Genomic DNA, 23,805 nt, shown 5'->3' on the forward strand with positions numbered 1-23,805 from the left:
GCTTGGTCTCCTCCTCTGAGTGATCAAGTTTAGATTCAGTTGCCCTCTTGTGCATAAGGAAAAAGAAAGCATTGTCATGTATAATGTAGACATTGTACTAATCACTTGCACGTAATTTAGCTCAGTTATGTTCAAAATGTAAATTGAGACCTATTTCTGGGCCACAGTCAATTTAGTGGGTCAGAACCAATTTTTTTTCAAATAACAGAGCATTTCAATGTGTGTTTTATTTATATAGTAGGTATGGTTTCATGAAACCCTTTTTTTCTAGTATACATGTACGTGTACATATCTAGATAGCAATATTACCACATTATATAAAATATATTTTTTTAATCTAGGTTGTGGTCAAAAAGTTTCAGACTTACTGTGTTAGCTGCTTTGATCCACAGATTGACACTGTGAAGTAGCTGTGGTTTTCCTCATTTCATAGGTGAGGAAAACTGGGTCTGGGACTATAGAATTGCCTTGCCTGAAATAAAGGGTAGAGCTGGGGTTTGTGTTTTAAGTTTTTGGACTTAAAATTTCGTACTATTTTCCTTTCAAACATATATTTTTTTCTGTATTAGTTACTATATAGTTTTTTGTTTTTTTGTTTTCTTCTTGTTTTGAGATGGAGTCTTGCTCTGTCGCCTAGGCTGGAGTACAGTGGCTCCATCTCGGCTCACTGCAACCTCCGCCTCCCGGTTCAAGCAATTCTCTGCCTCAGCATCCTGAGTAGCTGGGATTACAGGCTCCTGCTACCACGCCTGGCTAATTTTTGTAATTTTAGCAGAGACTGGGTTTCACTCTGTTGCCCAGGCTGGTCTTGAACTCCTGACCTCCTGATCCGCTTGCCTCGACCTCCCAAAGTGCTGGGGTTACAGGTGTGAGCCATGCACCCAGCCACTAGTTACTATTAATGGAAATGAATAACCGTCTTTACTTGAAACTTATGCTTTGCTAACCATGATTAAAAAAGTGTTCACCTTGTGTGTGTGCGTGTGTGTGTAGGTATTCCAATCCAGTCTCTTTTGACTTCATAATTTAGAAAGTTAACTTGTGGAGTATCTACATGCTTTTATGCTTACCTTAATAGTTAGATTTTCCTCCAACAACCAAAAATTCTCCCCTCAACAAAGTGGGAGAAGCAATAGCTGCCAGCTAGCAGAAGCTAGAGACATGTCACTGCCAGTGCAGCCCATGGGTCTATGTCAGCAACACCTGAGAGCATGTTGGAAATGCAGAATCTCTGGCTCCAGTGTGGACCTGAATCAGAGTCTGCGTTTGATCTAGGTTCCCCGATGATTGGAACATTGACATCTGAGATGTACGAGTCAAAGACACCAGGTCATTTATTAAAACATCAGTTAAGGAATTGAATGGGTTTTTATTTTTCAGTCATGCGACCTACAGTTACTGAGGATGTTCTGGCCCAAACCTGTGACTAGAGATGGGCATATAAAGATAAATCATGAGTGGACTCTACTTGTAAGAAGCTGCAGTTCTAACCAGGAGGGAGTGATCATAACACACAAATACAATCAAGTATTACAGATGCTCTGATAGAACTGTATATGAGACGCAAAAAGGGCTGCTATCTAAATCCTTGGATGTGTGTGTAGGTTTTATATGGATATTTAGATGAAGAAGAGCATGATGCTTTCTTTGTTTTCTTTTTGTACCACAGTAAATGAATCCAAACTTTGTTGATAGTCAGAGTTGAATTGTTCCCATGTGTTTTTCTACCACAATTACCCATAACTAGTAATTTACTTACTTTGCAGGTAAATTCTTGTTATCTTCACCCTCTGATGGGGGCCTTTGTTTCATAAAGGGCTAAGCAAGCTCTGCGTTAGGTAGATGCCTTTCGTATCTGACTGACGCAAGTGTTAGGGTAACCACAGTGGGGAATAGCTCAGCTGGTCCCAGCTAACCATCCCTGCTTCTCAAGGCCGCATCCTTTTTACCCCTAGATTAAAAGGGAGAGCTTGAGAAAATATGCATAGCTAGGTCCTCCGGAGTCTTTCCTCACTCCCTTTTTGAGTTAACAATATGCCTAACAGGCTGTTTTCTGAAGTAAATTGGCAGTAAGTAGTGTTTGGGAATCAGAGATGGAATACTTGATTTGTCCAACTCCTCATTTAACTGTTTCTTGCTGCTACCTCTTGCACCCAGCAAAAACCTTTTGAATATTAGCTGAATGATTTGGGTTCACATGGAGCAAATCAAGCAAGATATGTCTCAGCATCTCTCCAAGAGTGAGAATCCATTTCCTGCTCTGTATTTCACCAGCTATGTAACTTTGAATAAACCATTTTACATGAAAATTGAGGCATAAATATATTTTGTATGTAGGTAGGATTTGGAGGATGAGTGGAGGAGTATGGAGGGACCAGGTCTGAAGGCACGTGTCTATGACCACTCTACTGCTTCTAAAACTGGACATTTCCATTTTAGATTTGATACATCGCTGCCAATTGCCGGATGGCATTTTGTTTTGTTTTGTTTAAAAGCTTGCCTGTACGTCTCAGAGTCTGAGAGGTGAGTTGCAATTTCCCTGTAGGTCAGAGAATCTGGGAGGTGAGTTGCAATTTCCCTGTAGGTCACAGAATCTGGGAGGCAAGGCAGAGAGGACAGGGCATGCACTAATATGAAGGTCTACAGCTTAGCTGTGCTGGCTGGAAGGTACTGCATTTCATTTCATCCAGGGGCTTTCCTCCAGAAGGATCACCACCTAGGAATGAAAGCCGCATGCTCTTTCATTCTTTCATTGTTTTCAGAAATCTATTAGAATGGAGAAGACCTCCTTCCCCCTTCTTCTAATCATATATAAATACAGTTCTTTTCATTTTCCCATTTTTCTTAAACATGATAATTCTGCCTTGTCTCTAAAGCTGAACTTATTTTCACTGCAACTTAGAGGCATTTTCCTTTATTTACTTGTCTATGAAAATGATGAGCTCTGAGTTAGAATTCTCTTAAACTTTTAGTCTGATTTAGGATAGTTATTAGCAGTTTTTCATTGAAACTCTCCCGGTTAGTTTATGCCTCTCTCCAAGGGAACCATTTCCTCTCCTTTTATCAGATTTGTATCTGTTTTTGAGACATTTGCCCGTTCCTCTACATCTTTTGAAAACGTGAGCACCTCTCTAAGGAATGCAGTAAGGACCCTTTGATGGTTAAGCTTAAAGAACTGAAAACTTTGGTCTGACTTAATAATTGATCTAAATAAAGCAGATAATTATGTGTTTATCACGAGGGCTTTTAAACATCTGCCTTTTCATGCTTAGAATATAGAATCCATCTTTTCAAGTTGTTTCTTAAAAAAACCAAAAACATTCCACTTTTCTTTTTTGTTCGTTTTGACCCTCCCAGGATTGTCAGCAGCCTGTGCCTCACTGTGTCTGAGTTCTATTAGAGAAACAGAGTAAAGAAGGATATATTTGGAAGGGACAGACAGTTGTACTTTTTAAGACTTACTTGTTGTGACATTTTGGACTTTTCATGTAGCTTCTTTATGACATAGTTTATTGAACCTTTCCAATTTTGTGGGTCTAAAGTAGGAATAACATGTTGTGGTTCTCAAAGTGCGATCTCAGACCCAGTCACATCAATCACCCAGGGCCTCTGTTTGATAATATGATCTCCAAGATTTTGTTCAGTTCTGATACTGTCTGATGCTCTGAAAATTTCCCATGATGTAACAGAATCTGATGAAGTATAAGAGGGGACCCAGGAATCCTTTTATAAAATGGGTATGAAGAAGACATAGTAATATGGTTTAGCTCTGTGTCCCCACCCAAATTTCGTCTTGAATTGTAATCCCCATGTGTCAAGGGAGGGATCTGGTGGGAGGGGATTGGATCATGGGGGTGGTTCCTCCATGCTGTTCTCATGATAGTGAGTGTGTTCTCACAAGATCTGATGGTTTAAACTTATATGGCAGTTCCCCCTTCATGCTCTCTCTTTCCTGCCACTATGTGAGATGTGCTTGCTTCCCCTTCACCTTCTGCCGTGATTGTAACTTTCCTGAGGCCCTCTAGCTATGCTTCCTGTCAAGGCTGCAGAACTGTGAGTCAATTAAACCTCTTCTTCTTTATAAATTGCCCATTCTCAGGCAGTTATTTATAGCAGTGAGAGAACAGACTCATACAACATAGATTCAGATAGAACATTTGAACTTGGAAATTAGGTTGTGAACAGCAACCTAAACCTTTTTTGCCTCATTGCCTAAGCTCTCATTGTGAGCACTGTTTTCATACATATGACCTTTAAAGGCAGTAAAAAACTTCTTGACAGTTCTTTTTAATTAACAGATATGAAATATTTTTTCATGCAGTCTGTGGCCAAATGAAAGTTTCTCAATCCTGGCTGCAGGTTCGAATCCCTTAGGTTTTATAGGTGTCCTGGTGCCTGACCCCCTCACTCCCTGTCTTCTATCCCCAAGATTCTGATTGAATTGCTGTGAGATGGAATTTGGACATCAGCATTTTCGAATGTGTTTCTTTGGTGATTCTGGTATTTAACCAATGTTTAAAACTACTGAATGGAATGCATACAGATTTATGGGATTTATAATTGTCATAAGGATATGTACAAATTATTTCCACAGATTTGTGCACCCAGAGAATAAGAGGAGTAGAAATTTTCTTTATGTTGTAAGTTATTGAACATTTCTTATCCTGTGGGTCTAAAGTAGTAACAACATGCAGTGGTTATTAAAGTGTGCTGTCAGACCCAAAGGCATCGATCACACAGGGATTTATTAGAAATGAAGATGGTTGGAGTTCTCCCCAGACCTACTGAATCAGAATCTCTGGATCCAGGACCCAAAAATCTGTATTTTAAAAAGACATTCCAGAGATATTGATGAACTCTAAAGTTTGAGAACCATCAGCTTTAAGGGTTGTTGTATGATTCGGTGGCAGTGTATGAAAATCTTAGCAAACTGCCTGGCATGGTGCGAGTCTAGTAAGCGGAGTACTCGAGAGATAGTGCTTTTGATTGCTTAGCAGTCTGAATTTGGCTTGGGGCTAGACCTGACAGTTCTTGGCTTAGCTACACTTTGAATTCTAAGACTGTTATTTATAAGGCAAATAGAGGCAAACTGAACCATTTCAAAGGTGTATCAGAACAACAAAACCTACTCACAGTCATTCTAATGTGCTCACTCTTCCATTCTTATACTTCTATTTCTCAGGGCCTAAACTGTGATGTTTTGATAATATCCAAAAGCAACTCACTTAATGATGGAGACTGCTGCCCTAACCCACAAAGTGTTGAGCAACTAAAATGCAAGGAAAGGCTACTCCTCCATAAATAGAAAAGATCTCTTCTCCAACACATCAAAAACATTATTTTTAATAGGAAAATAACAAATAAAGAACAGGTTAAAAGGTAGAAGTTTCTGTTTCCCCAATACAGTTTTTTGCAGACTATTTAAAAAGGTTTCATTCCAGGAACCATAAAGCTCTTGGATATATGTGTATAACTTAGATCACAGAGATCAGGTTCACTCCCTCAATAACTCTGACAGCAGTGTGCTTCTCTTGTTGGTAAGAGATGCTAGGTTTTTCTCGGTATCCCAAAGTCTCATTACTTCTTGCCTGGATTATGTATAGATTTCTAAATTGGGTGTTTCTTATTCATTTCTCCTAATCTGTCCTGCATGGACTTTTACATTAGTCTTTAGTAAATCGTATTGTAACCAAGTGTTTCTTTCTCAGAAATCCTTGGTGGATCTCTGCTGCATGCATGATAAAATTCAAACCCTTTTTTTGATGTGCAACATGTAAAAACCTTAATTTTATCGCATATCTAATCTTTATAACTCACTGGCATTATTTTACATTCCTGTGTCCCATGTTTTTCCTATGTCATGACTTGCTTTTTATTCTCTATGCTCTGAACTTTCTGATCGCCATGCCTACATTCTCCTGTCTCTCTACCAAGGATGGACGTACCTTCTACATCATGTTTCAGGAAAATTATATGATCCACTGAGACTTCCATGATCCTCCACTTTATCTTAATTTCCAGAGGTTATTCATGCATCTTTATAAATTACACCTTGTGTTATCTTTAGTTTTGTACAATTTTTCTTCCTCCTCTATTTGATTGAAAATGTATTGAGGGCAAGCACCAAGGTGTATAAAATTCAGTAACTCTATCTCCCACCCAAGCTCATTCTTCGCTTTGCTTAATATATTGACCCCTCTAGACTAGCTTTTATACCATTTCTAAATATCAAATCCGATACTCTTTCTTCTGAAAGTTAAGACTACTAATTAAGGCTACTAATTAAACTAAGATGGGGAATAATTGCTATACAACACAAAATTATGTGTCAAAGCCAATTATAAAAAAGTAAAATGCCAGCAAATATATCACGAGTACTATAACGTTGCATCCTTATTAACTTCATGTTGTTTACTTCTTTTCTGTAGGTGATTTTCTTCCACCCCCACCTCCACCTCTAGATGATTCCAGTGCCCTTCCATCTATCTCTGGAAACTTTCCTCCTCCACCACCTCTTGATGAAGAGGCTTTCAAAGTACAGGTAAGAGCTGAAGTTAAAGTCATGTTAGGTAAGAGCTGAAGTTAAAGTCATGTTTATAAGCCATCCTAGGGAGCTCATGAATTTCATGAGTGTTTCTGTGCTGGATAAACATTTATCCAGAGCCTATTGAGAGCTTTACAACTTATGAAGATCTAAGGTACTTTAATGCAACATACCCAACTCAAGCTTCCCAGAGTTCTGCTGGCTTACCCTCTGAAGCCCTCAAAATACTTTTGCCTACTAATTTTGTTTCAGATCCCAAAGCCATTTTTTTTTTAGGAATACTATTTGAGAAGGCAACATTTCCTTGTTATTTTGGAGGACATACAGCCATGTCTTTTTATTGCTATGTTCTCTATCTTCAAACATTGCATTCAAGTGAGTAAGGCTGACATTTTAAGGCTGTAGTTGGTTAATGTGGATCCTTTTGGTCAGCAACATTTTTCTAGCAAAAGCAACATCAAATATCCTTAGGATTTTCTCTTCTGGGTAAGTTCAAGGGTGCACATCATACTTATCAATTATATAGAACTCTTGGGTTCCAGCGAGTGGTAATTGCAAAGTAACTCGGGGCTGGGATCAGATGTGACATTAGAAGTGGTTCTCAGACTGTGATCATCGGTAACTGCCGAAAGCTGCCACCATTTAAGCTGAAGAAGTGCTTTATGTCAAGAAGAAAATCTAATAAAGTGATAGAATTATTGTTATAGTTTTAGGTGTGACTATGTTCGCATAGATACATTGAAGAAAAAAATGAGTCTTCTTTGTCTTTCAGAGAAACATTGGAAATGTTTGTAGATAAAATGGAATGGGCCGGGCGCGGTGGCTCACGCCTGTAATCCCAGCACTTCGGGAGGCCGAGGCGGGCGGATCACGAGGTCAGGAGATCGAGACCATCCCGGCTAAAACGGTGAAACCCCGTCTCTACTAAAAATACAAAAAATTAGCCGGGCGTAGTGGCGGGCGCCTGTAGTCCCAGCTACTTGGGAGGCTGAGGCAGGAGAATGGCGTGAACCCGGGAGGCAGAGCTTGCAGTGAGCCGAGATCGCACCACTGCACTCCAGCCTGGGCGACAGAGCGAGACTCCGTCTCAAAAAAAAAAAAAAAAAATGGAATGGTGTCTGGTAATTATTTTCAAAATAATAAGGGTTGGAAACTACTGAGTGAGAACATGGGTGAAATAGGGTTGGTTATGATTTGATAACTGTTGGGTGCATGGAAGTTTATTCTGTTATTCCGTCTACCTTTTAAAAAATACCTAATATCATTTGTGGAACATAAAATATATTGAATTATTGCTCATTAATTTTATCATTTGTTTTACAGTATTATTTTTTCATTTTAATTTTTGTAGCTACAAGTAGGATATGTATTTATGGCATACATGAGATATTTTGATATAGGCATACAGTCTTTTAAACATATACCTTTGTATATGTTTAAAATATCCTATAATAAGAAGTGTAAAAGAGAAAAAGTCTTAGGGAACAACTGCTTAAATGGTTTGTTCTATTATTTGCCTTTCTTTCTCCTAAATTTGAGGTTGAAGGAGACAAAGAAAGAAATGATTCATTCGCTCAACAAATATTCTGTATTCCTATGTGGGCATTATTCAAGCACTAGGAATGTTATAGCAAAAAAGACAGACACCACTCTGTCCTCAGGGAACGTAAAAGTTAGTGGGACTAGTGGAAATAAACAAGATACGCACATTACAAAGTACATTAGAGTGGATAAGTGGGGAAACAGGGAGGGGGTCAAGGCTTACCTACTAGGATGGGCATTATCAATATGGCCCCACTGAGAAGGCGACGCTTAAATGAGGACTTGAAGAAGGAGAGGAGGGAATGAGCTCTAGAGATTTCTTGGGGAGTGTATTTTCATATAGTAGATATTAAGAAGTAGAAAAGGCTTTTGATATTATCTATCATTTGAAATCAGTAAATTGCAGTTGTAACCAGTAAGTACCAATTCAGTTTCTGGAGTCTAGATCTTTTAAGGCTATTGAAAAATATGTGTATTGCAAATATAGGCCATGAATTTCTTGCATTTTATTTTGGTGTATACTAATAAAATCAACTATCAGATGCCAGTGATGAATGAGAGTCCTATAAAGTTTGTATTTATTTTATGTAACAGATAGAACCTTTGGCAAATAAAACCAATATGAGTGATTTTTCTTAATTTTAGTCATTTTTTAATAAAATGAGGAAATCCTTAGCTTTGGCTTTAATATACCTTTGGTCTTACTTTGCTGAAGTTGGTTTTTTGCATATTGTTTAATATGTACAATTTTTAAAGTCACTGACTCTGTTTCCTCTCTTAGATTGTCATAGAAACTATTTTGTTGCATTTTAAATCTTTAGTTCTCACAATGTTATTTGAAGTAGTGACAGAAGACTCGTGATTGAAAACTAGTTACATAGATTATTCTAGTTGTGTGATCTTGCGCAATGCATGCTGAGTCCCGGTTTCCTCTTCATTAGAAACAAAACAAATATATATACCTCTTACAATTAAATGAAATACAGATGGATTTGAAAGTATTAAACTGAAAGGGCTATACAAATATTTTGATGTTATATTAATAATCACTATTAATATGTAAGAAGACTAGTAAGGATTTTCCAGTGGGTTCCATTAAAAAATTCAACCATGGGGCTTTCAAAAGATAATGAAGAATTTTTTTCAGGTGGACCTTGTTCTGTTAGATGTACTCAAGCCGTGGCTTTGTTTTTGAAGAGGAAGGAAATAAACAAAATGCCTGTTGTCATGTTGGCTTAAGTTCTCTGTAAAACAGAAGGGAGGAGGATAAAAAATAAAATACGGTTTGCCAAATGGAAAAGGACAAATCTGGTAGGGAGAGGCCTGTTATTTTTGAGACGCTTCATATGGAAGATTGTTGATACATTCAAAAGAAAACGAACATGCCCTCCCCTTGTGCAGAAGTGACTTAGATGTGATAGCGGCTTGGTCCTGCTCTGGCCCAGGTTTGTACCAGCTATAGAAATGAGCCATGGTAGAGCCTAAAGTAGCATGATCACTGGAGAAAATTCTGCGCAGTTTCCTCTCGGCTATGGTTAAAACCTCATGTTCCCAAGTCCAAATTATAGCTGGTAAATGTGTGTTTTTATGCAGAAGACTGTTTATGTTTCCAGCCAGATTTTCAGGTCAGAGCCAAAAGAACGTCTACTAAGAGTGATTATAAGAGTTGTAAGATTTTGAGAGCAGAAAGGGACCTTAGAGATCATTTAGTCCAACTCTGGCGCCAGGCATCTAGTTACAGTCCTTTCAAGTATTTGCTAAATTAATTTCCTTTTTTTTTTTTTTTTGGAAATGGGGAAACTGAGACCCAAGAAGGGATGGATCCTCTGGTTTCTGACAGAGGTCTTATTGAATTTGAAAAATCTTGACTCCTGGCCTTGACCTTCTTCCTGCTGTCCCAGATGGCCCATGAACTTGGTTTTGCTTTAGTCCTCTAGCAGACTTCAAGGCTCTGAGATTCATTGCAGAGGGTTACACGTTTTTATTTGGAAGGAGCAGGTGATGCCGGAGTTTTGCTTGGCTGTCTGAATTTTTGATATATGCTATAAGCTTTTATTTCTTCAAAAAAGGCAAATAAATATTTAGCCTTAAGGATTCTTGGTTTAACAGTTCTCATTTTCATGTGGGAAGATGCAACTTGGAAAACAGGGGAAGGATTTGGTTTGCTTTTCTGTCAGGATCAACGTGACCTCCATGCCTGTGATGTTTGTAGTGACACTTCAGCAATCACTTTATTAATTCATTTGTTCTTCATTCATTCAGTGTAAATTGAATGCTTCTTGTAAGTAGACATATATGCTAGTGATTATAGCCTTAAAACTTGGCATCATAGGTTTAATGCTCTGAGTCTCAGCCTTGGGACGGTCAGTTAGTTTTATTTATTTATTTATTTATTTATTTATTTTGATACAGAGTCTCACTCTGTCACCCAGGCTGGAGTGCAGTGGCGGGATCTTGGCTCACTGCAACCTCCACCTCCCAGGTTCAAGCGATTCTCCTGCCTCAGCCTCCTGAGTAGCTGGGACTACAGGCACCCACCACCACGCCTGGCTAATTTTTTTGTATTTTCGGTAGAGATGGGGTTTCACTATATTGGCCAGGTTGGTCTCAAACTCCTGACCTTGTGATCCACCCGCCTTGGCCTCCCAAAGTGCTGGGATTACAGGCATGATCCACCGCGCCCGGCCAGTTAGTTTTATTCTTATCTGACCCCACAGTTGGTAATTTCTTCCTCTTTTCAGCCAGGCCATAGGCAAGTATTAGTATTATATAACATTGCTTAAGGTAGTTACAAAGAAGTCACGTGTCTCAGAATTTTGGACTTGCAAGAGAATTAGAGTTAATACATTCAAGTTCCTTTCTATTGTTTGAATCTTGTAATTTTTTCCTACATAACAAAATGTTTATGGGTAATTATGATAGGTGAGGCAGTGCTGCAGGATAAGGAGATGGATCAGTACAGTACTCAGAATCACATTCGGAAGATGCATATACACAGTCATTTAAGTCATTTTATGGTAAATTATGCTTTGGTCATCATACATTGATCAGAAGCATAATCTAAGTCCTAGGTTAGTGGTGGAGAGTGAGGGAAGTAAATTAACTGTGACTGGAGAGAGGCAAGAAGGATTCATAGAAACAATTTAAATTGAACTGAACTTTGATGGCTGGGTGGGACCTTAATTTTCAGATAGGTGAGTGGATTTTTCAGCAATAAAATAAAAGAATTAAAACACAGAGGAAGGAGAGCTCAAAGTAAGTGTGGTAGGCCTTGTGTTTCTAACTGTGGAACCTACTCTTTGTTCTGAAACCATTGACAATTTATTGTAGGGGCTTGTTATTATTTTAAATATAAGGGTGATATCCCCAGAACTGTTGTTGGATGCCAAGTGATACTGTTAACATAAATTAAGGCAAAACATGTTGCACTTGCAGGAAACCCCATGCAAACAATTCTGAGTTGTCTGGTAGACTTCCTTCAGATCCATGGGGACTTACCTGCTGACATCTGATGGCTTTGAATTCAGGGGCTCAATATTTAACTTCCTCTTTTTATGATATCTTTGTTCGTCTTTTCTTGGTGACTTCCAGTTGACAACTTCTAACTCTGCTTCTCTGTTTGTTTCCCAGTCCTGTGGCTTGCTTTCATTTGCCTACTATTCAGTATTTGCATACCTCTGGTTTTCATCTTTCCTTTTCTGTTTGGTCCTGCAAAATGGCCAGGCTTGCTAATGTAACTCCAGGCCCTCCACATTAGAAAACAGAGGGGTTTTGTCCATTGGTGATTACTTCAAATGTTAAACATTTCTCTTTGTTATTGAGTAGAAATGTGTCCCTTTATGATGTCCTCATATTGGTTTTCTTTCCCCTTTTAAAAAGTGATGCAAAGTCAGAGGAATGACCAGGCCAGGAGAGAGATAGGTGCTGTATGTCTCAAGGAGTTGATGAGTAAAGCTACTGAAAGATGTTACTTTTCAAAGGAGTGAGTAAGCACAGAGTAACATGAGCTATGCCCAGAATTAGTGGAAAAGTAGAGAAATGTCTGAAATTGTTTATTTTAAAGTCAGCCTCCAAAAGCTCTTGAGCATCTATTCTTGTGAAAACAATTCAAAGCTCATATATGTGTATGATGAATAGTGGCTTATAATCTTTTTTCTTTTTTTTTGAGACAGAGTCTTGCTCTGTTGACCAGCCTCTGCCTCCTGGGTTCAAGCGATTCTCCTGTCTCAGCCCACCGAGTAGCTGGGACTTTATAAGCACGCCCCACCAAGACCGGCTAATTTTTTGTATTTTTAGTAGAGATGGGGTTTCGCCACACAGGCCAGTCTGGTCTTGAACTCCTGACTTCGGGTGATCCGCCCACCTCGGCCCCACGAAGTGCTAGGATTACAGGTATGAGCCACCATGCCCGGCCTCATTTTCCTACTTACTAATTTTATGTGTTTAGTTTAACAATGATAATTTGAAAATCAATTCAAGTTTTAGCAAAACTGGCACTGGAATTTTTTTTTTTTTTTTTTTTTGGGACAGAGTCTCGCTCTGTTGTCCAGGCTGGAGTGCAGTGGTGTGATCTTGGCTCACTGCAAGCTCTACCTCCTGGGTTCATGCCATTCTCCTGCCTTAGCCTCCCAAGTAGCTGGGACCACAGGCACCCACCACCACACCTGGCTAATTTTTTTAGTTTTTTATTTTTAGTAGAGACGAGGTTTCACCGTGTTAGCCAGGATGGTCTCGATCTCCTGACCTCGTGATCCGCCTGCCTCAGCCTCCCAAGTGCTGGGATTACAGGCGTGAGCCACCGCGCCTGGCCGGCACTGGAATTTTTGTCTTGTGATTCCATGTAGGACTATCATGGTCTCAGGTACAGAACAACAGGATTTTATTTTTAGACATAAGGAACTCAAACCTACAGTATGGCCACATTCATTCATGAACTCACAGAAATAGGCAGCTGAACTGGCTTTACGTGGGTTGGACCACCTTATCATAAAAGTCTGTCTTTCTGCTGCCGGTTAGTGTGATAAAGGAGGAGGAGGCTGGGTATGAAAAGAGATGTCGGCTGTGGAGATTAAGAGTAGAGGTAGTGGACAGTGTTGCCAGGGCAAAAACAACATGGTCAGCAAGAGCTTTAATGTATTCTAAAATGCTTGTTTTCAAAAGGGTGAGAATACAAGGATATCTTGATCCATGAAAACATACCAAAGAGATGATTGAGATGCTTATTTCTTCCTGGCCCTTTGCCTAGTTCCTTTTGGGTCAGCAAACCCCAGTTGATTTGTAGCTTGTTTGTGACCCTGACAGCAACAGTAGCAGCAGCAGCAGCAGAAGCAGCAATAGCAGCAGCAGCTTGCTTTGCAATTATCTCCTATTTTTATGGTCCACATATGTAGGTCATTGTGTGTTTATTAAGGCTGGGTAGGCTCTTAGCATGTCACTGGCTCTGGTCATTGTGACTTTCTAGAAGCGAATGTCACAGTTTTCCTGGTTGCTTTTTGCTCTTAATCATCATCTGATTGGTTATTCAGATAAGAAGATGGACATTTTTGTTGTCTGGACTTGTAAAAACCCTTTTGACAGTAGCCGACCTAGAGTCCAGGGGAGTATTCCAATATTTCATTTAGCATTAGGAAACTTTTAATGGAATATCATAGTTTCTCTTCTTTACTTTTTAAGAACTTAAAGAGGTAAAACTTTCCCCTGGGATTGATAGTGGAGTATGTGTACATATACACATACCCACCTACTCACCTATATCAACCTGATTACCACTGCCACCACTACCTTGAAATAATTTGTGACACATTTATACTCTCTGCAGTGAAAGATTGGTTAACTGCTCGACAAAAAAAAGTCTTGTGGGGAATTGATGGTGGTTAGTTCTGTTGAATGTAGGGATAACCAATGAGGTTAGCTTTGCCTTAGCTCCTGAGTTTCTGTATAGGGAGTAATATACTATGCTTGCATATTTCAGAACATTTCCTTTGCTCAAAGTTAAGTGAGACTATAGTTGGTTCTTTTTGAGTCAGTGAAAGTTTTATCCCAATTTGTCTCTCCCATCAAGAGTCTTAGTGGTTTCTTCAAAGGTGAAATGTACTTATTGTTTTTTTTATTTTAACTTACAAAAAAGTAGTGGGTCTTTTTCTACTTATAAGAAAGTAATGTCAGCCGGGTGTGGTGGCTCACACCTGTAATACCAGTACTTTGGGAGGCTGAGGTAGGTGGATTACCTGAGGTCAAGGAGTTCGAGACCAGCCTGGCCAACATGATGAAACCCCATTGTTACTAAAAATACAAAAATTTGCTCTGTGTGGTCGTGTGTGCCTGTAATCCCAGCTACTCCAGAGGCTGATGCAGGAGAATTGCTTGAACCCAGTAGACAGAGGCTGCAGTGAGCCGAGATTGCACCATTGCCCTCCAGCCTGGGTGACAAAAGCGAAACTCCGTCTCAAAGAAACAAACAAACAAAAACAGTAACGTAAAAAAATCAAACGATGTAGATTAGATATTTTCAAATTTATTTCTCTATGAGGGAAAAATTATGATCTGCTTATATGTCCTGCTCCCAATAAACACGCCAAATGATGCTTGAACATTCTTTTCTTCCCTGCTCCATCCCACATTCTATTAAAATAATTTGGAGAATATGTTGTAACATTTTTAACTTTATAGCAAATCTCTTTTGAGAATTGTTTCTTGCATTAAATTTTATAACCACATCAGTAATAAACTGTAACTTTTACCTGTTTGCTGTGCTATTTTCTATTTACTATCTTTTTCTTGTATTCATCATCTTGATTCTTCTCTTTTTTGTTCTTTTTTTCTGCCATAGTACTTCATTAAGTAATTTTATGGGAAGGCTACATGCTTGATGTATTTCCTGAGTCTTTGTATATCTAAAATGAGTTGTTATTGCCTTCATATTTGAGTAAAAGCTTGGCTATAAGTAGAATTCTCGGGTCAAATTTGCTTTACTTCAGTATTGTACCAAGATTTGCACACTATCATTTAGTATCATTTAGTATTCAGTGCAGCAGATGAGAAATCTGATGCCAGTCTGATTCCTTTTCCAGTTTAGTAAATTTTTCTTGTTTGGTCTATAGGCTTTATTTGTGGGATTCAGCAATTTTACTAAACTGTGTCTAGACACAGCTCGCTTTTTACCTATTCTGCTATTTCTACTCAAGTCAAGGTTTTCTTTATGTAAATGGGATTTTCTTCTTTCTTTTCTTCTTTTCTTTTCCTTTCTTTCTTTTCTTTCTTTCTTGAACTCCTGAGCTCAGGTGATCCTCCTGCCTCAACCTCCTAAGTAGCTGGGACTAAAGGTGTGTACCACCATGCCCAGCTAATTTATTTATTTATTATTATTTTATTTTTGTAGAGACAGGGTCTTGCTATTTTGGCCAGGCTGATCTTGAACTCCTGGCCTCAAGCAGTTCTCCTGTCCTGATGCCTCTCAAAGTGCTGGGTTTACAGGTGTGAGCCACTGCTCCCAGTCAAGATTTTCTTATAATATGTTGAAAATATATTTTAATCTTTCATTCACCTTTTTCTTCTTTATGAACTCCTACTATATGGAATTGGATTTCTTCTCTATTCTTCATATTAGTTTTCTTTTTCCAATAGTTCTACTACATGGAGGGATTTCTGTTGCTTACTTCCCTTTTATATTCTTAATTTTTGTGGTGATAGTCTGCTTTTGACTTATAAATGCTCTATAAAACTGAATTTGGGGAGAGTATTTGGTAGGAGTGGCTCTGGATATCTGTTGTTCAGGGTAGCTAGCTTGCACTTAAACCTTTATCTTTTATCTGAAATGGGAATATATAGTTATTTAAATGCAGGGTGGCCATAGGGTATATACGTTCAGTCTTCAACCATATATGTAATTAGGGGATGCAGGCCAGCAGAAGAATTGCCCTTAGATGCACAGGTCAAGAGCAGACCAGCAAGGTTAATCTGGGTCCTCAAGGCTAATGGTTTGGGGATTCATAGGCAGGTAGCAAAGCCCCTCCCTTACATGCCATACATGTATGCCAGGTGAGGGCTGCAGGAGCTGTGGCCAGCGCTTATGTATATTGATCTCTAGTTGAATTCTCAAGCCCCTTTGATTTCCTCCCTCATTGTGTTTTCATCGGTGACTTTGCTTCTCAATGACACACTGTCACCAGCGGTGCTGGGAATTGTGGCAGAGTCCTTTTTGTTAGAAAGCATAAACTCATTAAATCACTTCAGTCAAATCACTTTTGACTGACTTTCATTAAATACCCCTAACGTCCATTCTAAAGAGCCTTGCCCCACCCCTCACCCTTTTTGTTATGACAGTTCCTGGTGTCCTGCTCAGGTCCTGGTGTCTTTTGCTATGTATCTCAAACTCACTTTGCTGCCTGTGAGGAGTTCATCACAGAAAACGTGCTCTCTGATAGCATTATCTAAGCCAAAGAAAGCTTCAGAGACAGCATAATGCGATGGTTAACACTGCAAGTGCTCTTCCAGGCTTCCTGGGTACACATCTGGCTTCCTGCTTACTGGCTGCATGACTGTAACGTGCTGCTCAACCTTTCTGTGGCCCACTTAAATCCTCTGTAAAATGGGTGATTGATTGTTGTGAGGTTTCAAAGACATAATGCACATAAAGAATATTTTATGTAATTGACATGTCCTAAAACTTAGTAAATATTTTCACTGTTGTGATATTTTGGGCTAGCAGGTCTCTGTGCTGGGTTTTGCCATAGTTGTCACTGACATTTGATTTGCACCATGCCTCCTCAGAGTTAACCCGTGATCCCATCCCTTGCTATTATAAGGTTCAGGATTTTATATATATATATATATATTTTATTTATATTTTATTATATATTTTTATATATTTATATTTATATTTTATTATATATTTATATTATATTTATATTTATTTATATATATTTATAAATATATAATATATATATTTATAAATATATATATATTTTTTTTTGCAGAAGAAATACTCCCACAAACTTCCTCTATAAAATGAATGATTGAATTAAATAATCATGTAGCTCTCTTACAGCTCTAAAATTCAGTGCCTTGGTAATAAAATATCACTTCTTTGTAATTTCATGGTGATTTATAATTTGCAAAATACATTATAACAGCACAAGTATAATTTAACTAATGAAATAAAAATGAGGATCCAAGAGTTGAAGGAACTTGTTTAGATCTCATAATTGTCATGAAAGCAGTTACTTATTTTTAAATAGACAATAACAAAATCATTTCGGTGACTTTTTACAAATGAGAGAATGTGGATACTCTTAAATCCTCAAAAAGCAGCCATTGTCGTCAATAATATATGTTGATGTTTAGTAACCATGAACCTCCGAGGTAGTTTTCTTTGTAATTTTTTAGTGGAAGATTAGCACATCTTCCATCCTGGCCTCTAGCATATTTTCTGACAAACCCCTTGTTGATTGTATCACATACCTTTTATCCATGGATTTGGTACGAAAGCCCTATTGGGCCCACAAATCTTTCGGTTCTTTTGTAATTTACATAATCCAATCAACAGGGGCACAGAAACACCTTGTTCTGAAAGAAGGAGTGAAAGGGAGTAGAGGATGCTGACACCAAAAACCTAGGGCACTAACTCATATTTTATCTCTGAATATAGTACTTTGAAACCCTAGTGTCTTAGGAAGGTTTTCTGTTCATAGCTGATTTCACTTGATCCATTCAAAAGTCAAGCATTTTTGTACTCTTACTATATAACTTAAAATATATTATAGCATGGGGTGTTTATACCAATCCTTGAGGGGTTAAGCTATTATTATCATTATTTTATCATTAACTTCTGTGAGTTTGACTTGTACAGGGCCTCCTAGCCTGCAAATTTCAAAATTGACGTCTTTTTTTTTTGAGACAGGGTCTTCTTGCTCTGTTGCCCAGTCTGGAGTGCAGTGGCATGATCTCCACTCACTGCAGACTCCACCTCCAGGGTTCAAGCCATTCTCCCGCCTCAGCCTCCTGAGTAGCTGGGATTACAGGCACGTGCCATCACACCTGGCTAATTTTTGTATTTTTTTTAGTAGAGACAAGGTTTCACCATGTTGGCCAGGCTGGTCTCGAACACCTGACCTCGTGATCTGCCCACCTCAGCCTCCCAAAGTGCTGGGATTACAGGCGTGAGCCACTGCACCCAGCAAACATTGCTTTTTTTAATAAAAGACTTTCATATACTTTATCTCACTTGAACCTTTAGACAACTTCTGCAAAGGGAAAGGTAGGGAGGATTCTCCATCTTGTATCAGTGAAGGCTCTGGGGCTCTGAGGTTAAGCAGCATTCCAGGTTTCCATGGCATTAACTGTCCCAGGCAGGGATGAAGCTCTCTGAGACGTGCCAGTCCATTTCTCTCTCCATTGCCATCGCTGCTGTATTGTTACTCTCCCTTTATATTCATTTTTAGTGAAGGAAACAAAACAGCAGTTGTCACTTTCCTTTCCCAGTAGTTTCATTATTTGCTGTCACCAGTTCTGTTGCAGGATCCTCTATTGTAATATTGTCTTCAGATTTTAAAAAATGTATCTCTACATATTGGAAGAAAGCACTGTGGTGGAAAATACAGGAAAACTGTGTACAGACCTGTTAAATGGAAATGTTTTCATAATTTTTAGTTAGTTTTATTTGTATTTTACTAATGAAATTTAGTAAAGATGTCAATGTCAATCTTTCTTACTACGGAAATAAGTTAAATTTTGCCAACTAGTGGAAAAAAAGTTTCTGTGGCATTTTTTTTTTTAAGGAATACAGGATTGATACAAGAATGAGAGCATTCATATTATAAGAAATATAAGTTTTGTGGTTTTTTTTGAAATAAAAATTTGGTTTATGAGAGGCTTAAAAAATGAATAAATTCCCTTCTTTCCTGATAGTTTCTGTCGTTCCCTTGGGGATTAAAGGAGTGTGAATCTATCCTACAGCCACTTCCTCTCTGAACTGTAGATGACACATCAGGATGTGATTTGGGGTAGATCAAGCCTCAGAGTCGAATCTCAGTGTCTAGCCGTAGAGGTGGTATGATAGTATGATAATTCCACATGTCCTGCCTTCTGGGCTTTTTGACATTCATAGCATTTCTAAACAAGTGAAGGATTTATCTTAAAAAATAAAATTTTAGTATTTTCTTCATTATTCGTGAGCTTTAATTCTTTCCATTAGAAATTATGTCATCCCCATATTTAGAGCAATGAATAATTGCATAACTTTTAAATTGTGTATTTGATGGTATGGTGTATATTGAAAAGAGAATGAGAAACTATCCCCTGAATAGAGATTTAGTGATTCAAGCCATCACTTTCTAAAATATACGCACTTCAGAGTGAAAGTTCAGTGTCAGAACTTCATAGAGTGTCTGGCCAGCTAGAGTTAGGTATTTCATGGAGAGATGATCAAACAATTGAACAGAAAATACAGCAACCAGAAGAGTTTTTCACTGTGCATGTTCAGAAGACTTCATCATTTTTATTATCATTTTATATCAAGCCATTTTATAAGTAGAGATGTGTCTAGAGGATTGTTTTCATTTCCTTTTAGCTCATTGAAAGTCATACAGTGTCACTTTAGTAATTCTCTTCTTGCCCAGTGGGGATAGAAACCAGTTTTGGGCCACGGCAACTATATAGAAGTATTTTCATAGAGTTACAGATTCATTAAATGAGACCCTCTCTCCTCCCCTTAACACCCACTGTGTTTCTGCTATAATGAGGATTTAAGCAACAGTCCCAACATGAACTAGCTCATTTCAGTACTAGGGAAATGGCTGTTGCATGGGTTTACCACCTCTGATTCTGCAACAATTGTTCTTTTTCTGACAGCGTCTTCTACCTCCTCCAGGCAGGCACAACTCTTGATGACTTGAACCTCCTATGTTCTTTTTTTTCCCCCCCAGCTTGTAAAATTATGGTAAAATACACATAATATAAAATTTACTATCTTCACCGTTTAATGTTCTGTTCAGTAGCAATATGATGAAGTACATTCATATTGTTGCAACTGTCACCAGTATCCATCTTCAGAACTCATTTCATCTTGCAAAACTGAACCTCTATACCGCTTCACCAATAACCCCCCATTCCACTCTCAGCCAGCCCCTGAAACCACCATTCTACTCTCTGTCTCTAAGATTTTAACTTCACGAGCACATGGTAAAATTGTAATCAGATTGTATTTGTCTTCGCAACTGGCTTATTTTACTTAACATAATGTCCTCAAAGTTTATCCATGTTGTAGCATATGTCATGCTATATATATGTCATGTTCTGCTTATCCGTTCTTGTTAATAGACATTTGGGTTCTTTCCCCATTTTACCTACTGTGGGAATAATGCTGCTATAAGTATGGGTGTAGAAATCACTCTTTTGGACCCTGCTTTCAGTTATTTTGAGTATATACCCAGAAGTGAATTGCTAGATAACATGGTAGTTCTATTTTTAATATTTTGAGGAACATTCATACCATTTTCCACAGCAGCTGTACTGTTTCCATTCCTCACAACAGCACACGAGTTCTGATTTCTCCACGTCCTTGCCGACACTGTTTTTTGTCTCGATAATAGCCATCCTAATGGGTGCAGAGTGATAGCTCATTGTAGTTTTGATTTGCATTTCTCTAATGATTACTGATTTTGAGCATCTATTCATGTATGTATTAGCCATTTGTATATATATATCTTCTTTGGAGAAATGTCTATTCAAGTTCTTTATTCATTTTTGAATTTGACTTTTTTTTCTTTTTGAGTTTTGTAAGGTCTCTATATATTCTGAATATTAATCCCTTATCAGGTATGATTTGATAATACTTTCTCCCATTTTGAAGATTGCCTTTTTACTCCATTGATACTGTCTTTTGATTTTTAATTTTTATGAAATTCAATTTGTCTCTTGTGTTATTTGTGCCTTTTGTGTCATATTAAGACATTCGTTGCCAAATTCAATGTCATGATGCTTTTGCATATGTTTTATTCTAATCTACAATTTTAGATGTTACCTTTAGGTCATGGATCCATTTCGAGTTAACTTTTATAATTATGCTAGGAAAGAGTCCACCCTTACTCTTTTGTGTGTGGATATTAAATTTTCCCAGCACCATTTGTTGAAAAGACTGTCCTTCCTGTATTAAATGATCTTGGTGCCCTTGTAGGCAGTGACTTGAACATATATCTGAGGGTTTATTTCTGGACTGTCTCTTATGTGTTATTATGCCAATAGCACACTGTTTTGCTTACTTTAGCTTTGTATTAATTTTTGAAATCAGGAAGTGTCGGTCCTCCACCTTTGTTCCTTTTTACTCAGGATTGTTCTGCCTATTTTAGGTCATTTCATATTCCATATGAATTTTAGGATAGGTTTTTCTACTTTTTAAAAAATGTCACTGGGATTTTGATCGGGACCGCATTAAGTCTGGATATCATATTGGTTGATATTGACATCTTAGTTATATTAAGTCTTGCATTCTATGAACATGAGATGTCTACCATTTATTTATGTCTTCTTTAATTCCTTTCTGAAATGTATTCAAGTTTTCATTGTTCAAGGCTTTTAACTATTTATTCACGTTAATTTCTAAGTATTTTGTCTTTTATTTTTTGATGCTATTGTATATGGAATGATTTGCTTAATTTCCTTTTTGAATTGTTCATTGTTGATACAAATGTAAGTGATTTTTGTGTAGTAACTTTATATGCTCTACTTGGCTAAATTCACTATTTAGTTCTAATAGTCTTTGTGTCCAATCTTTAGGGTTTTCTACATATAAGATTATGTCATCTACAAGAAGAGATGATTTAATTCTTTCTTTTTAATTTTGACACCTTTATTTTTTTTTCTTCCCTGATTACTCTGATGAGGACTTCCAGTATTACACTAAATTGTTATGGCAAAAGCTGGTATTCCTAATCTTAGAGGAAAAGCTTTCAGTCTTTTATCATTGAGTATGATTTTCTCTGTGGGTTTCCATCTGTGGCTTTTGCTATGTTGAGATAGTTTTCTTCTATTCCCAGTTTGTTGAATATTTTTCTTATGAAAGGATATTGAATTTTGTCAAATGCTTTTCTGTGTCAATTGAGAAGATAACTTTTTTTCCATTCTGTTAATATAATATATAACCTTGATTTGTTTGTTGAGTATCCGTTCGTTACAATAATAAATTTCACTTGGCCATGATATATCAAACTTGTAATATGCTATTAAATTTGACTTGGGATATTTGATTGAGGATTTTGCATCAATGTTTATTAGGGATATTGTTCTGTACTTTTCATGTAGTATCTTTGTCGGACTTTGATGTCACAGAATGAGTTAGGAAGTGTTTCCTTCTTTTTAATTTTTTGGAAAGATTTGAGGATAATTGTTGTTAGTTCATGTATCAATGTTTGGTAGAATTTACTAGTGAAGCCATGGTTCCAGATTTTTTCTTACTCAGATTTTGGATACTGATTCAATCTTCTTAGTATTCATAGCATATTCAGATTTTTTATTTGTGGTTTAGTCTTGGTGCATTTTGTGTTTCTTGAAAATTTCCCTGTCATCTGGGTTATCGAATTTTTTGCCACACACTTGCTCATAGTACTCTCTTAAATCTTTTTTATTTCTGTAGAATTGTTAGTAATGCCCCTACTTTTATTTTTGTCTTTTGTAGTTTGAGTCTTCTCTCTCTGTCTCTCTCTCACTTCATCTAGCTAAAGGTTTGTCAATTTTGTTGATCTTTTTTAAGAACTGTTGGATTTTGTTAGTATTCTCTATTATTTTTCTATTCTCCATTCTACTTATTTCTACTCTTATCTTTATTATTTCTTCCCTTCTGGTAGATTTGGGTATGGTTTTTTCTTTCTTTTTTTCCAAGTTTCACAATCTGTAGATTTAGGTTGTTGGTTTGACGTCTTTCTTATCTTTAAATTTAATGGTGTATAGCTATAAATTGCCTCGTTTGCACTGTTTTCACTGTTTCCCATACGTTTGGTATGTTTTCTTTCATGTTCATTCATTTTTAAGTATTTTTCTATTTCCCTTGTGATTTCTCCTTTGATCCATTGTTTGTTAAAGAGCATATTATTGGCTGGATGCAGTGGCTCACACCTGTAATCTCAGCACTTTGGGAGGCCGAGGTGGGAGGATCACGAGGACAGGAGTTTAAGACTAGCCTGGCCAACATAGTGAAACCCCATCTCTACTAAAAATTACAAAATATTGGCCGGGCGTGGTGGCTCACGCCTGTAATCCCAGCACTTTGAGAGGCCGAGGCGGGTGGATCACGAGGTCAGGAGATCGAGACCATCCTGGCTAACGCGGTGAAACCCTGTCTCTACTAAAATTACAAAAAATTAGCCGGGCGTGGTGGCGGGCACCTGTAGTCCCAGCTAATCGGGAGGCTGAGGCAGGAGAATGGCCTGAACCCTGGAGGCGGAGGTTGCAGTGAGCCGAGATCACTCCAGCCTGGGTGACAGAGGAAGACTCCATCTCAAAAAAAACAAAAACCAAAAAACAAAATATTAGCCGGGCGTGGTGGTGGGCACCTGTAATCCCAGCTACTCGGGAGGCTGAGGCAGGAGAATCGCTTGAACCCAGGAAGCAGAGGTTTCAGTGAGCTGAGGTCGTGCCATTGCACTCCAGCCTGGGCAACAGTGTGAGACTCCATTAAAAAAAAAAACAAACAAGTATATTATTTAATTACTGCAAATTTGTGAATTTTG

The 23,805-nt window shown here is 37.9% G+C and overlaps 1 protein-coding gene across 57 annotated transcripts in view; it reads left to right on the top strand.

Annotated features, from left to right (window-relative positions):
• LPP (LIM domain containing preferred translocation partner in lipoma) overlaps positions 1 to 23,805 on the top strand; it is a 737,651-nt gene that overhangs the window by 325,143 nt on the left and 388,703 nt on the right. For all 57 annotated transcript variants that reach the window (NR_164692.1, XM_047448103.1, NM_001375457.1 and 54 more), the window contains one exon: positions 6,429 to 6,541. Coding sequence is in view for 56 of the 57 variants with exons in the window: in XM_047448103.1 (XP_047304059.1) it covers positions 6,429 to 6,541 (113 nt within the window). In the remaining variant the exon portion in view is untranslated. The remainder of the gene's footprint in view (positions 1 to 6,428; positions 6,542 to 23,805) is intronic.

The sequence above is a fragment of the Homo sapiens genome, chromosome 3 (assembly GCF_000001405.40).
Source record: "Homo sapiens chromosome 3, GRCh38.p14 Primary Assembly".
Lineage (NCBI taxonomy): Eukaryota > Metazoa > Chordata > Mammalia > Primates > Hominidae > Homo > Homo sapiens.